The 13281-nt window shown below is 45.1% G+C and overlaps 1 annotated feature.

The window, feature by feature from the left end:
- Nucleotides 5045-5214: an enhancer, noted in NCBI's record as "experimental_47083 CRE fragment used in MPRA reporter constructs". NCBI's record gives its function as "activates a minimal promoter by MPRAs in K562 erythroleukemia cells, with activity observed for the non-introgressed 17:16813978 variant allele {active_cell/tissue: K562}" and the evidence as "EXISTENCE:reporter gene assay evidence [ECO:0000049][PMID:34662402]".

The following is a 13281-nucleotide window of genomic DNA, read 5'->3' as shown; positions in this document are numbered from 1 at the left end:
GAAAATGTTTCTCTCCTGGATCCTGAGTGGTGGTGTCACTGACTACACGTTCTCCGGAAGGGGATTTGGTAACATGAATCTAGAGCAGGGGTCTCAAACTCAGGTGGCCCTGGGAGCCAGGTAGGTGATGTAATAGAGGGAGCGCCCATTAGCACAAGGGCAAGGGCAGCTCTGATTTTTTTTTTTGGAGACAGGATCTTGTTCTGTCACCAAGGTTGGAGTGCAGTGGCATGATCTTTGCTCACTGCAGCCTCTACCTCCTCAGCTGAAGTAATCCTCTCACCTCAGCCTCCCGAGTAGCTGGGACCACAGGCGCAGGCCACCATGTCTGGCTAAGTTTTTGATTTTTTTCTACAGACAAAGTCTCCCTATGCAGCTCTTAAAAAATATTTTTGAGGTAAAATTCACATCAAAATTACCATTTTATTTTTATTTATTTATTTTGAGATGGAGTTTCACTCTTGTTGCCCAGGCTGGAGTGCAATGGCACAATCTTGGCTCACTGCAACCTCCACCTCCTGGGTTCCAGTGATTCTCCTGCCTCAGCCTCCAGAGTAGCTGGGATTACAGGGGCCCGCCACCATGCCCAGCTGCTTTTTTGTATTTTTAATAAAGACAGGGTTTCACCATGTTGGCTAGGCTGGTCTTGAGCTTCTGACCTCAGGCGATCCACCCGCCTTGGCCTCCCAAAGTGCTGGGACTACAGGTCTGCCTGGCCTCGGTACCATTTTTCAAGAGCCTGGCTCTTCCCCATTGAATGATCTTGGCACTTTTGTCAAAAATCAACGAACCTTATATGTGAGGGTTTATTTCTGGACTCTCAATCTGTTCCATTGATTTCCATCTCTCTCCTTATGCCATGACCACACTCTTTTCATTACTGTAGCTTGTAATAAGTTTTGAAACCAGGAAGTGTGAGTCTTTCAACTTTGTCCTCCTTTTTCTTCTTTTTTCTTACTTTACTCATTTTTTAATTTTTGAGACAGGGTCTCAGTCTCACCAAGACTGGAGTGCAGTGGTGCAATCATAGCTCACTACAGCCTCAAAGTCCTGGGGTCAAACCATCCTCCCATCTCCGCCTCCCAATTAGTTGGGACTACAGGCACATGACACACACCTGGCTATTTTTTTTTTTTAATTTAGTTTTTTGTAGAAACCAGTCTCGTTATGTTGCTCTTCTGGTCTCAGACTCCTGGCCTCAAGTAATCCTCCAATCTCAGCCTCCCAAAGTCCTGGTATTACAGGCATGAACCATTATGCCCAGCTTTTTTGTCCCTCTTTTTCAAGATTGTTTTGTTTCTTTGGGATCCCTTGGAATTCCACACCAATTTGGGGATCAGCTTTTCTATTTCTACAAAAAAGGCCATTGAGATTTTGATAGAGATTGCATTGAGTCTGTATTTTGCTTTGGGTGGTATATAGCATTTTAACAATATTAGGTCTTCCAATCCATAAACCTGAGCTGTATTTACAGGCATATAGGCCTTTAATTCTGTTCAGCAATGTTTCATAGTTTTTGTGCACAAGTCTCTCACCTTAAATTTATTCTGAAGAATTTTATCCTTTCGGTTTCTATTGTAGGTGGGTTTGTTTTAATTTTCATTGCTAGTGTATAGAAATAAAACTGATTTCTGCGTGTTGACCTTGTACTCTGCAACTTTGCTGAATTCCTTTATTAGTGCTAGTAGCTTTCTACTGGATTTTAAGAACTGTCTTTATGTAAGGTAATTTCATCTGTGAATAAATAGTTTTATTTCTTCCCTTCCAACATGATGCTTTTTATTTATTTTGCTTGCCTAATTTATCTGGCTAGAATTCCAATACTATGTTAAACATAAGTGGTAAAAGGGGGCGTTCTGACCTGTTCCTCCTATGTTAGGTGAAATGTTTTCAGTCTTTCACCAGTGAATATGAGGTTGGCTGTGGGTTTTTCATAAATGTGGTTTATCAGCTGGCAATGGTGGTTCACGCCTGTAATCCCAGCACTTTGGGAGGCCAAGGAAAGTGGACAGCTGGAGCCCAGGAGTTTGAGACCAGCCAGGGCAACATGGTGAACCCTGTCTCTACAAAAATACAAAAATCAGTCAGGCGTGGTGGTGCATGCCTGTAATGCAGGCATGTGTCACCACACCCAGCTAATTTTTGTGTGTTTAGTAGAGAAAGGGTTTTGCATGTTGGCCAGGCTGGTCTTGAACTCCTGGCCTCAAGTGACTTGCCTGCCTCAGTCTCCCAAAGTGCTGGGATTACAGGTGTGAGCCACTGCACCTGGCCTTCATGGAACCATTATTAATAATAATGGCCAAAATGCAGAAACAACCCAAATGTCCACCGACTGATGAATGGATAAACCACATATGATATATCCATAAAATGGAATATTATTTGGCCATAAAAATGAACTACTGATACATGCTATAACACAGATGACCTTTGGAAACATTATGCCAAGTTGAAGAAACTAGTCACAATACACCATGTACTGTGTGATTCCATTCATGTGAAATGTCCAAAACAGGTAAATCTATAAAGACAGAGAATAGATTAGTAGTAGCCTGTGGCTAGGGAGGAATGAAGACTGACAAAGTTTCCTTTTAGGGTGATCAAAATGTTCTAAAATTAGATTATGGTGACAGTTGCATAACTCTGTAAATACATTAATACTAAAAAACATAGACCCGTACACTTTAAACAGGTGAACTTTATGGCACGGGAATAATATTTCGATAAAACTATTTACTCAAGGGGAGGCAAGAACTGGGCAGCTGGAGAAAAAGAAGGAAAAAAAGACTTTCTATCATATCTTTCAATACTTTCTGGGTTTCAAGCCACCTGACTAATACTATCTATTCAAAAGCAAGTCTGAAATCAAAGGATACAAAAAAAATTAAAGACAGACCCCTGATTCTCCCCTAGTTTGGGCTGGGGAGTGGAGAGGGAGGGAGCTACCGCACACCCTGCCATAGTGTGAAGCAGTGGCTGAGTGGAAGGCCGGTAGCGGGTTCTATTGGACAAGGGCAGCTTTGGGGAGTTTCCAGGACCCATTCATGGCCTGGAAGCCACCAAAGCCACTGGACCTGAGGGGAGACAGTGCCCTATTGACCAGATGGCAGTTGCCCAACTGACCAGAGGAGCTGTCCATGCCCTTCCTCTTCTACCACCATCTCAACCCACATAAAATCTCAGAACCCCCATGAAGCCCCAAAGAGAAACAGGAAAACCCTAAGACTGACACAGCCAGGCGGAGTAGAAGCTTGAGAGAGAAGCTCCGTTGACAGAAAAAGAAAGGAAAAACTCCTCTCAGGCACTAGCTCTGTGGGCTGGGCTCACACTCTGGGCAGCGCAGACTTGGATGCAGGAGAGACTCTCCCCTGCACCCTGAGACCAGACAGCAGCCAAGGAGGGTGATTCTTAGAGCCCTCTGCTTGTGCCTCATGTGCTTGTCCGGTTAACAGATGCTGCTAGATCTCTGTGGTCAAATTAGCTTGAAAAATGCTGGGTTAAACAAAGTCAAAGCGGCCAGGTGTGGTGGCTCACGCCTGTAATCCGAGCACTTTGGGATGCTAAGGCAGGCGGATCACCTGAGGTCAGGAGTTCGAGACCAGCCTGACCAACATGGTGAAACCCCATCTCTACTAAAAACACAAAATTAGCCAGGCGTGGTGGCGCATGTCTGTAATCCCAGCTACTTGGGAGGCTGAGGCACGAGAATCACTTGAACCCGAGAGGTGGAGGTTGCAGTGAACCAAGATCGCCCACTGCACTCCAGCCTGGGCAACAAGAACAAAACTCCGTCTCAAAAAAAAAAAAAAAAAAAAAAAAGAAAGCCAAAGTATTTTTTTTTAAACTGCAGGCCTTCTTTCTCAGAGCCTTCTCTTGTGTGCTTGTGACTCTTCAAGAGGAAGTCTGGCAGGTTCAAAGCACTTTTGTGTTTTTGAGGCATATCTAATAGGAAAGACAGTCTTCTTTGTTTTACAGCTGACGGGAAGTGTCTCAGCCAAAGTCCCAGTGTGCGTCAGGGAACAACTGGCCAGGGCTGATTCTGCAGCACCAGACAGCCTCTGCCAGCACCAGGTCACAATTCCGGCTGGTCCTGACTCGTGGTCCCAGGGCTCTAAGCAACATCATCCTGTGTCGAGGCAGCCTTTGGTCACCGCTTTGTTCAATTCTCAGAAAGTTTATGTACTTGAGCTCCTGATCAGGTCCGTATCTGGGGACATGGTTAACTGGACACAAAAGAAGATCAGAGAACAGATTCGCTCCCTGCCTGGGGTGTGGGGACACAGCAGCAGGGAAAGGCTGTGAATCCAGGCTGTGTCCTAGGTCCATCCAGCGGTGGGTTCCATCTGCACAGTGAGACGTGCAGTTTTCCCCTTGACCTGTTAAGATGTAAATTAGCCGCACCCCCTCCCACCCCCGTGCCTGCGCCTTGGGTCTCAGGAGCCCAGGTGAGTGGCTGGGGTCCAGGCTCCTGGGGTCCCATGGGGGCACTGCCCACCAGTGCGCACAGAGCAGTGGAAGGCCTGCCTGGCCTTGGGATCAGGTATCGACTGTGGGATGGCCCAAGTCTTCTAGATCCGGCCCTGGCCACCCCTTGGGCCTGATCTCCTGCCCCCCGGGCACACATCCTGGGCCAGGACAGCTCTCCAGCCTCCCAGCATCACTGAGAAGGCCCTTCCCTTTTCCTGGACATACTTATTCTATTCATTGCCTAGTCAGCTCCTCCTGATCCTCCTTCAAGGCTCTGTTGAGCTGTCACCTCCTCCAGGAAGCCATCTCTGACCCAGCCCAAGTCAGGTGATGCTCTTTCTCTGTGTCTCGTTGGCCCTGTCCAACACCTAGCAGAGCACTGGAAAGGCTGAACCCTAGGCCTGGACAGCCTGGGTTTCAATCTTGACCCTGCCGCACACCAGTGGAAGGCCTTGGTGACAATTTATGGAACTCCTCTGTGCCTCTACTCCTCTCTGTCCCTCTGCATAAAAGGGGATGAGAACATTGCCCATCTCACAGGTGGTTATGAGCATGAAGTGAGGGAGCACAGTTACGTTCTTAGAGCAGGTTCTTGGTACACAGTAAGTCCTCAATAAAGGCCGTGGAGGATGAATACTATGGCCCGTATTGCACCGCATGGCGACTGCACTCCTGTGTCTTCCCGATCCTCTGAAACTTCCCAGGGGATGGGAAGCCCAGCAACAGCCAAAGGCGGAGTGAGAGGAACGTAAAAGCCAAAGAAAGTCCATGGGCCCTTGGGAAGAAACTGAAGGACGAGGAGGATGTGAGCAGGTGGAGAGGAAGGAGGGAGGCTCCAGGAAGCAGCTGGAGCAGGGTGATGGTGCACAGAGCAGGAGAGGAGAAGCAGATGGTCAGCAAACACAGGAAATGTCCAGTCTCCCAAAAATCAGAAAAACACAACTGAACAATGGAAAACTAACTTTCAGCCATCAGGTTGCAAAGTTTTAAAGTTGGTAACATCAAGGGCAGGGGGGTGATCTACAGAAGCATGAACTCAGGGCCCACTGGAGGGAGGGAGCTGGCAGCAGCGTTCTGGAGAGTAACCAGCCAGGGTCAGTTAAATGTACAACACACACCTAACCCACCCCCCAGAAATTCTCCTCCTCCATGAGCCTCCTGATGACAGCGAGAAACAGGAAACAATGTAAATGTTCATGCAGCAGAGGATGCCTGAATAAGCAGGGTGCACGGGGCAGAGCCAGGAATCTATGCTACAATTAAGAGCGTGAGACAGATGTGGAAGCTCTCGGGACAGATATTGAGTGAATAAAAGTAGTTTATAGCGTGAGTCTTACAGTACTGTTACTGGAAGGAAGGGAGCGTGAGTTGTCCAGGTCCTTGCCGTTTTGAACAAAGAATTGAACGAAACACACAAAGTAACAAAGAAATTAAACACAGGAAGGAAGCAGGAAAGCAGGGATTTATTAAAGCCAGAAAGCACTCCACAGGGTGGGAGTGGGCCCGAGCAATGGGCTCAAGGGCCTGGTTACAAAGTTTTCTGGGTTTTAAGTACTCCTTTTGAGGACCCTATAGGCTAACCCTTACCTGGATGAAGGATTTGGTCGTGGCTAACTAAAGGCTGGGGCAAACTGGTGCCCTATGCTGAGGAAGGGATGGCTCGTGCTTGGCCCTGGCCAATCCAGGGCACTCTCCCTTTCCATCTGAGACGTGGTGGAAGGGGAGGGCTATAGGAGAGGAGCCTTTGATCCTTTGCCACTTGGGTGTGGGGAGAATGGTTTGTGTGGGGGGGTGGTAGCTTTAGGAAGGTCGCATTAATTGGCCTTAGGTTCCTTGCCCCCAGATCCAGCTGTTCTCTCTTTAGGGAGTCAGCATGAATTGACCCCAGGTTCCCTGCCCCCAGACCTTGGTGGTTTCCCTTGATTCACCTTTAGGAATTCAGCATGAGTTGGCTTTAAGTTCTCTGCCTCCAGACCCTATTCTCCTGCCTCAGTATGATAAACCAAACATCACACATACACACACACACTCACACACACACTCGCACACACATACACTACAGTGCTGTGTCGTTCGTGATCATGCACACGTGACTGTGAAGCATAAGAAGCCTGCAAGGACATGCATGATGACACTGGCTACCACTGGGTGGGACAGAACTGGGGGTGACCGTCAAAGGGGCCTTTAGTGCTATTTGTAACTTTTAAATTTCATTGCTTGTGTCAATGAACAGTAGCAAAACAACAGCTGGGCTCTGGCAGGTGGATTTCTAAGAAAGAGGTAACAAACAAATCCCACTGCTAGGAACTTTCTGTCTGTAGAAACAAGCAAGCCTACAGTCACTACAGGATGCTCTTGTTGTGCCCCACCTCCCCTCCTGGTTGCACACCTCCAGGGCTGGGGTTCTCACCACCTCACAGAGCTGCTGACTCTAATACTACAATACTGCTCTAATATTGTAGTTTCAAACATGAAAACAGCAGCCTTTAAAACTCTTAAACTCGTCCCATCACAACTTGCTAAGGGTTACGGATTCCAGCTTTTGAGATCCAGGTGAGATGCAGGGACTCTCTACCCATGCCCTTGCCTGATTCACCAGTGTCCAAGGGTCCATGGCATGGCAGGACCCAAGGACCACAGCCAAGGTGCCACCCATGAAGGTGTGGGGTGGCTGTGCCTCATCATGCTTCTTGGGAGGTGACAGAGGATGCAGGAGAGACTTAGAGCTGAATTCCACACATTCATCAGAGTGACTTCCAGGCCAAGATCCCCCGGCTGAAGGAAGGCAGAGGCAAAGCAAACAGCATCCTTGGCCTGGCTGAGGTCTGAGGGCATCAGGACAGAGACGGAGACAAAGGACCTGGTGGCACCACATTTGCAGGTGTCAACCTCAGAACTGCAGAGCACCCACATGACAATTTCTGGTCATGGCTAGGGACTTTCTAGCACTAAAGCATTGGTGACTGTCAGCCAGGGGCCCGGGCCCTTCTCAGCTCCTTCTCATGTGCCCCTCCCTCTTCAAGCCACCAAGAACATTCAGAGTCCTTCTCATGCTTTACACCTCTTGGCTTTTACAGGGCTCTGTGATCAGGTGGGGCACATCCAGACCACCTCCCTGTGTCATATAAAGGGAAGGACATTATTCTGGGGAGAGTCATGGAGATTATCCTTAGAATTCTATCTGTCACATTCACCCTCTTGGCTTCCTGTCCCTCCAGAATTCTTACTGGAAAGTACATTAGAGATGGAGATTTCCCCATCGTAACACAAAACCAGGAGCTCAGAGTAGACTCTTAGATGAAAGAAAAGGAGGTATAGGGGTTCCATGGGTCAGGGCTGCCCTTGGCTTGGAAAAGAGCTAACACGCATCAGGAGCATGAAATTTGAGGACTGAGAGTAATTTGCAGGGCCTTCTTGGGAGTGACTTATTCCAAAAAGACCCCAGGATGTCTGAGTTGAGCAGAATGTGTGGAAGGGTCTCCTAGGAGCACCATTTTGAGCTCAGTGTGGGCCTCACTTGATAGTGAGAGCAGACTCATGTGCTTTTACTGGGTCTCAATTCTGGGCCACTCAAGATGTCAGGCAGCTGGCCCAGGGCTCTGCAGGTGGGTCTGGCTGCGATGCTCACTTCCCAGTGCTGCTGACCTGAGGCGACCACCATTGTGTCACTTCAGCTCCTATTGGCACAGTCACGGCAGTGATGACCTCCTTACTTTGACCTTCCACACCTAGTCCTTGGTGGGAAATAAACCTTCATGCAGACACCAAAGCCCTTCAGGGAAGAGGTGCAAGTGCTCGAATGTCACCTCCCTGACTACTGTATATATACTGCACCATTCACCCAACATTCCCAATCCTCCTTCCCTGCTTTATTTCTCTCCACAGTAATATCCCCTTCAAATATGGTACATATGTTACCTTCTATTTCAGTTAACTGCCAGACCCAATGACAATGTAAGTTCCATGAGAGCAGGGACTGTTGCCTGTTTCATTCACTGTGGAAACCCCAGCACCTACAATATTAACTGGAGCTGAACAGGTCCCTGAACACAAGTTCATTATTGGATTAATATATGGAAGGAGGCTGAAAGAAACCAGAGATGACACAAATAAGTGGAAAAATATTCCATGATCATGAATCGGAAGCATCAATATCATTAAAGTGGCCATATTGCCCAAAGCACTTTACAGATTCAATGCTATTCCCATCAAACTACTCTTCACAGATTTAGAAAAAACTATTTTGAAATTCATATGGAACTAAAAAGGACCCTGAATAGCCAAAGCAGTCCTAAGCAAGAACAAAAAAGCTGGAGGCATCATACTACTGGAATTCAAACTATACTATAACTCTACAGAAACCACAACAGCATGTTGCTAGTATAAAACCCAGACACATAGATCTTTGGAATAGAATAGAGAACTGAGATAAAGCTGCATACCTACAGTTATCTGATCTTCAACAAAAACAAGCAATGGGGAAAGGACTTCCTATTCAGAAATTGATACTGAGATAACTGGTTAGCCATATGCACAAGAATGAAACTAGACACCTACCTTTCACCACATAAAAAAACTAACTGAAGATGGATTAAAGATTTAAACGTAAGACCTTTGGGAGGCCGAAGCGAGCAGATCACGAGGTCAGGAGATTGAAACCATCCTGGCTAACATAGTGAAACCCCGTCTCTACTAAAAACAAAAAAAATTAGCCAGGCATGGTGGCGGGCGCCTGTAGTCCCAGCTACTCAGGAGGCTGAGGCAAGAGAATGGCGTGAACCCAGGAGCCGGAGCTTGCAGTGAGCTGAGATCGCGCCACTGCACTCCAGCTTGGGGGACAGAGTGAGACTCCATCTCAAAAAAAATAAAAAATAAAAAATAAAAATGCAAGACCTCAAACTATTAAAATTATAGAAGAAAACCTAGGAAATACCCTTCTCGACATTGGCCTTGGCAAAGAATTTTTGGTTAAGTCCCCAAAAGCAATTGCAATAACAACCAAAAGAGGTGGAATCTAATTAAACTAAAGAGCTTCTGCACAGCAAAGAAAACTATCAACAGAGTAAATAGACAACTTACAGAATGGGAGAAATATTCACAAACGATGTATCTAATATCCAGAATCTATAGCAAAAACTTAAATCAACAAGCAAAAAACAAATAACCCCATTAAAAAATGGGCAAAGGACATGAATAGACATTTTTCAAAAGAAGACATACAAGTGGCCAACAAACGTATGAAAAAATGCTGATCATCACTCATCACCAGAGAAATGCACATCAAAACCACAATCAGATGCCTTCTCACATTAGTCAGAATGGCTACTAAAAAGTCAAACAAATAACAGATGCTGATGAGACTGTAGAGAAAAGGGAGCACTTATACACTGTTGGTGGAAATGTAAATTAGTTTAGCCAGTGTAGAAAGCAGTTTGGAGATTTCCCAAAGATCTTCAAACAGAGCTACCATTTGACCCAGCAATCTCATTGGATATGTACCCAAAAGAAAACAAATAATTGTACCAAAAAGACATGTGCACTCCATATGTTCATTCCAATACTAGTCACAATAGCAAAGACATGGAATGAACCTAAATACCCATCAATGATAGACTGGATAAAGAAAATACGGTACATATACATGATGAAATACTACACAGCCATAAAAAAAGAAGGAAACCATGTCCTTGGCAGCAAGACAGATGCAGCTGGAGACCATTATCTTAAGCAAACTAAGGCAGGAACAAAAAACCCAATACTGTATGTTCTCACTTATAAATGGGAGCTAAACATAGAGACACAGAGACACAAGACGGGAACAACAGACACTGGGGACTCTGAAAGGGGTGAGGCAGGGTCGGGGACAAGGCCTGAAACGCTAACCATCGTATACTATGCTCACTACTTGAGTGATGGGATCAACTGTACCCCAAACCTCAGCATCACACAATATCGCAGTCTAACAAACCTGCACATGTACCCCCTCAATCTAAAAATACATACATATGTACACACACACGGAGAGCGACAGGGATTGAACATAACCTATCATGCTGTACTTTGGTGAGGTAAAAAGAAAGTCATTTTAAGTAAAATGCACATGGCTACTGGTTTTCAAAAAGACTATGAACCATCTGACTTTCACCACTTTTTTTTGGCTTCCTAACTCAGAGAGAACGAGCCTAAGAGGCATCATAAACAAACAGGTCTAGACACCATATTTTGTGAAGAGTAAATAAACCAGACACATATTTATATTTCTAATTTTACAGAGATTTAACAATGAATAAAAATTACTCCAGGCAAAATGAGTTTTGGGTTTCATCAAATGTAAAATATTTTGAAAGCTAATCCAAAATATTCACACACACACACACACACACACACACACACACACACACAATCACGCCAGCAGGAAATACTATTCTTATGATCAAGATTGGAAACATCTTATTTTCTATCTCTTCCCCGCAATCTCATTATGACTAGGTTACATCATAAAAGGGCACTAATGAACACGTGAATTGCCTTTGCATATCCACTCTGGCAGCTGCCTCGGTCCATTTCTGTCAGGTGGGGGACAGCACAGGTGGCATCAGTGGGGTCATTCTTGAATGAATGCTCTTTTTAACTGTTTTCTTCAATTTCCTGTTACCATTCCTATTTCCTTTATGCTAAACCTCCTGCAGGCAGCCGCCTCCCTCTAGCTTTTTATTCTTTCCAGTATTCTTGGCAGCATGGCTGACGGGCTGGGGAGGCTGTAACCAAGGGGCCTTCCTTCATGGTATGGTCCAGCCTCGGAACGGGGCGGAGGCAGAATGGACAGGTAGCAGGAAGAACAAACAGGGGTCTGAGGTGAGTTTATACTTTGGGAGCCCCTATTACTGGTCAGTAACACGACAGGTTTTCTTTTCTTTTCTTCTTTTCAGACAGGGTCTCCCTCTGTCACCCAGGCTGGAGTGGAGTGGTGCTATCACAGCTCACTGCAGACTTAAACTCCTGGGCTCAAGCAATCCTCCTGCCTCAGTGCTGGGATTCTTTTTCTTTTTTTGACATAAAATGAAAAGAAGGTAATGGCAGTGGCAGATACAAGATATATATATAATCTTGGTAGATTCTGGTTTTAAGACATGTGACTGCTGATATGATGGAGACTCCCAGCCCTGCTAATTTACTATCTGGGCTAGGTCTTGGCTGAGGCTGGGTTTTCCCTGCCAGCTTCTTTCTTTCTCTGTCCCCACCTCCCCAAAAGGTTTGAGGCTGGGAAGCGAGTGTTGTGGTGCCAGAATCTTCGAAAAGTTTAGCAAAATATTTTAAGAATGCAGTAGGAGTTGGTGATTTTAAAGAGGGTTTCTATTTAGTGTGAAAGATACAACAATAAAGCTTCTGCAGGAAAACATACGACAGTATCTTCATGATCTTGGAATAAACAATGTCTTACACAGAATACAAAAAGCATTAACCGTTAGAGAAAAGATTGATGAATTAGACTTAAGAACTTTGTTCATCAAAAGAAGAACATTTAAGGCACACTGGATGAAGGTATTTGCCACACAATTAATGACAAGGGACTTATATCAAGAATACATAAAGAACTCTTAAAAGCAATAAGGAAGATAATGACGATCTGATTTTTTTTTTTTTTTTTTTTTTTTTTTTTTTTTTTTTTTTGTGAGACAGAGTCTCTCTCTGTTGCCCAGGCTGGAGTGCAGTGGCACAATCTCGGCTCACTGCAACCTCCACCTCCCAGGTTCAAGCGATTCTCCTGCCTCAGCCTCCCAAGTAGGTGGGATCACAGGCGCCCACCACCACACCTGGCTAATTTTTGTATTTTTAGTAGAGACAGGGGTTCATCATGTTGGCCAGCCTGGTCTCGAACTCCTGACCTCAGGCTATCCGCCCACCTCGGCTTCCCAAAATGCTGGGATTATAGGTATGAACCACTGCTTCCAGCTGACAATCTGATTTTATAAATGGGCAAAAGTTCATGTTCTGCTTACAGAGCCAATAAATCTCACCCCCCAAACAAGGATGATGGTTTCTAGCTTCATCCATGTCCCTGCAAAGGACATGAACTCATCCTTTTTTATGGCTGCATAGTATTCCATGGTGTATATGTACCACATTTTCTTTATCCAGTCTATCATTGATGGGCATTTGGGTTAGTTCTATGTCTTTGCTGTTGTAAATAGTGCTGTAATAAACATATGTGTACATGTGTCTTTATAGTAGAATGATTTACATTCCTTTGGGTATATACCCAGTAATGAGATTGCTGGGTCAAATGGTGTTTCTGGTTCTAGAACCTTGAGGAATCACCACACTGTCTTCCACAATGGTTGAACTAATTTACACTCCCACCAACAGTGTAAAAGCGTTCCTATTTCTCCACAGGCTCATCAGCATCTATTGTTTCTTGACTTTTTAATAATTGTCATTCTGACTGGTGTGAGATGGTATCTCACTGTGGTTCTGATGTGCATTTCTCTAATGATCAGTGATGTTGAGCTTTTTCTCATATATTTTTTGACCACATAAATGTCTTCTTTTGAGAAGTGTCTGTTCATATCCTCTGCCCACTTTTTGACGGCATTGTTTTGTCTTGTAAATTTGTTTAAGTTCCTTGTAGAGTCTGGAAATTAGACCTTTGTCAGATGAATGGACTGCAAAAATTTTCTCCCATTCTGTAGGTTGCCTGTTCACTCTGATGGTAGTTTCTTTTGCCGTGCAGAAGCTCTTTAGTTTAATTGGATCCCATTTGTCAATTTTGGCTTTTGTGGAAATTGCTTTTGGTGTTTTAGTCATGAAGTCTTT

This window comes from Homo sapiens, chromosome 17 (genome assembly GCF_000001405.40).
Source record: "Homo sapiens chromosome 17, GRCh38.p14 Primary Assembly".
In the NCBI taxonomy this organism is placed as follows: Eukaryota; Metazoa; Chordata; class Mammalia; order Primates; family Hominidae; genus Homo; species Homo sapiens.
This window is presented reverse-complemented; position numbering and strand designations above follow the sequence as displayed.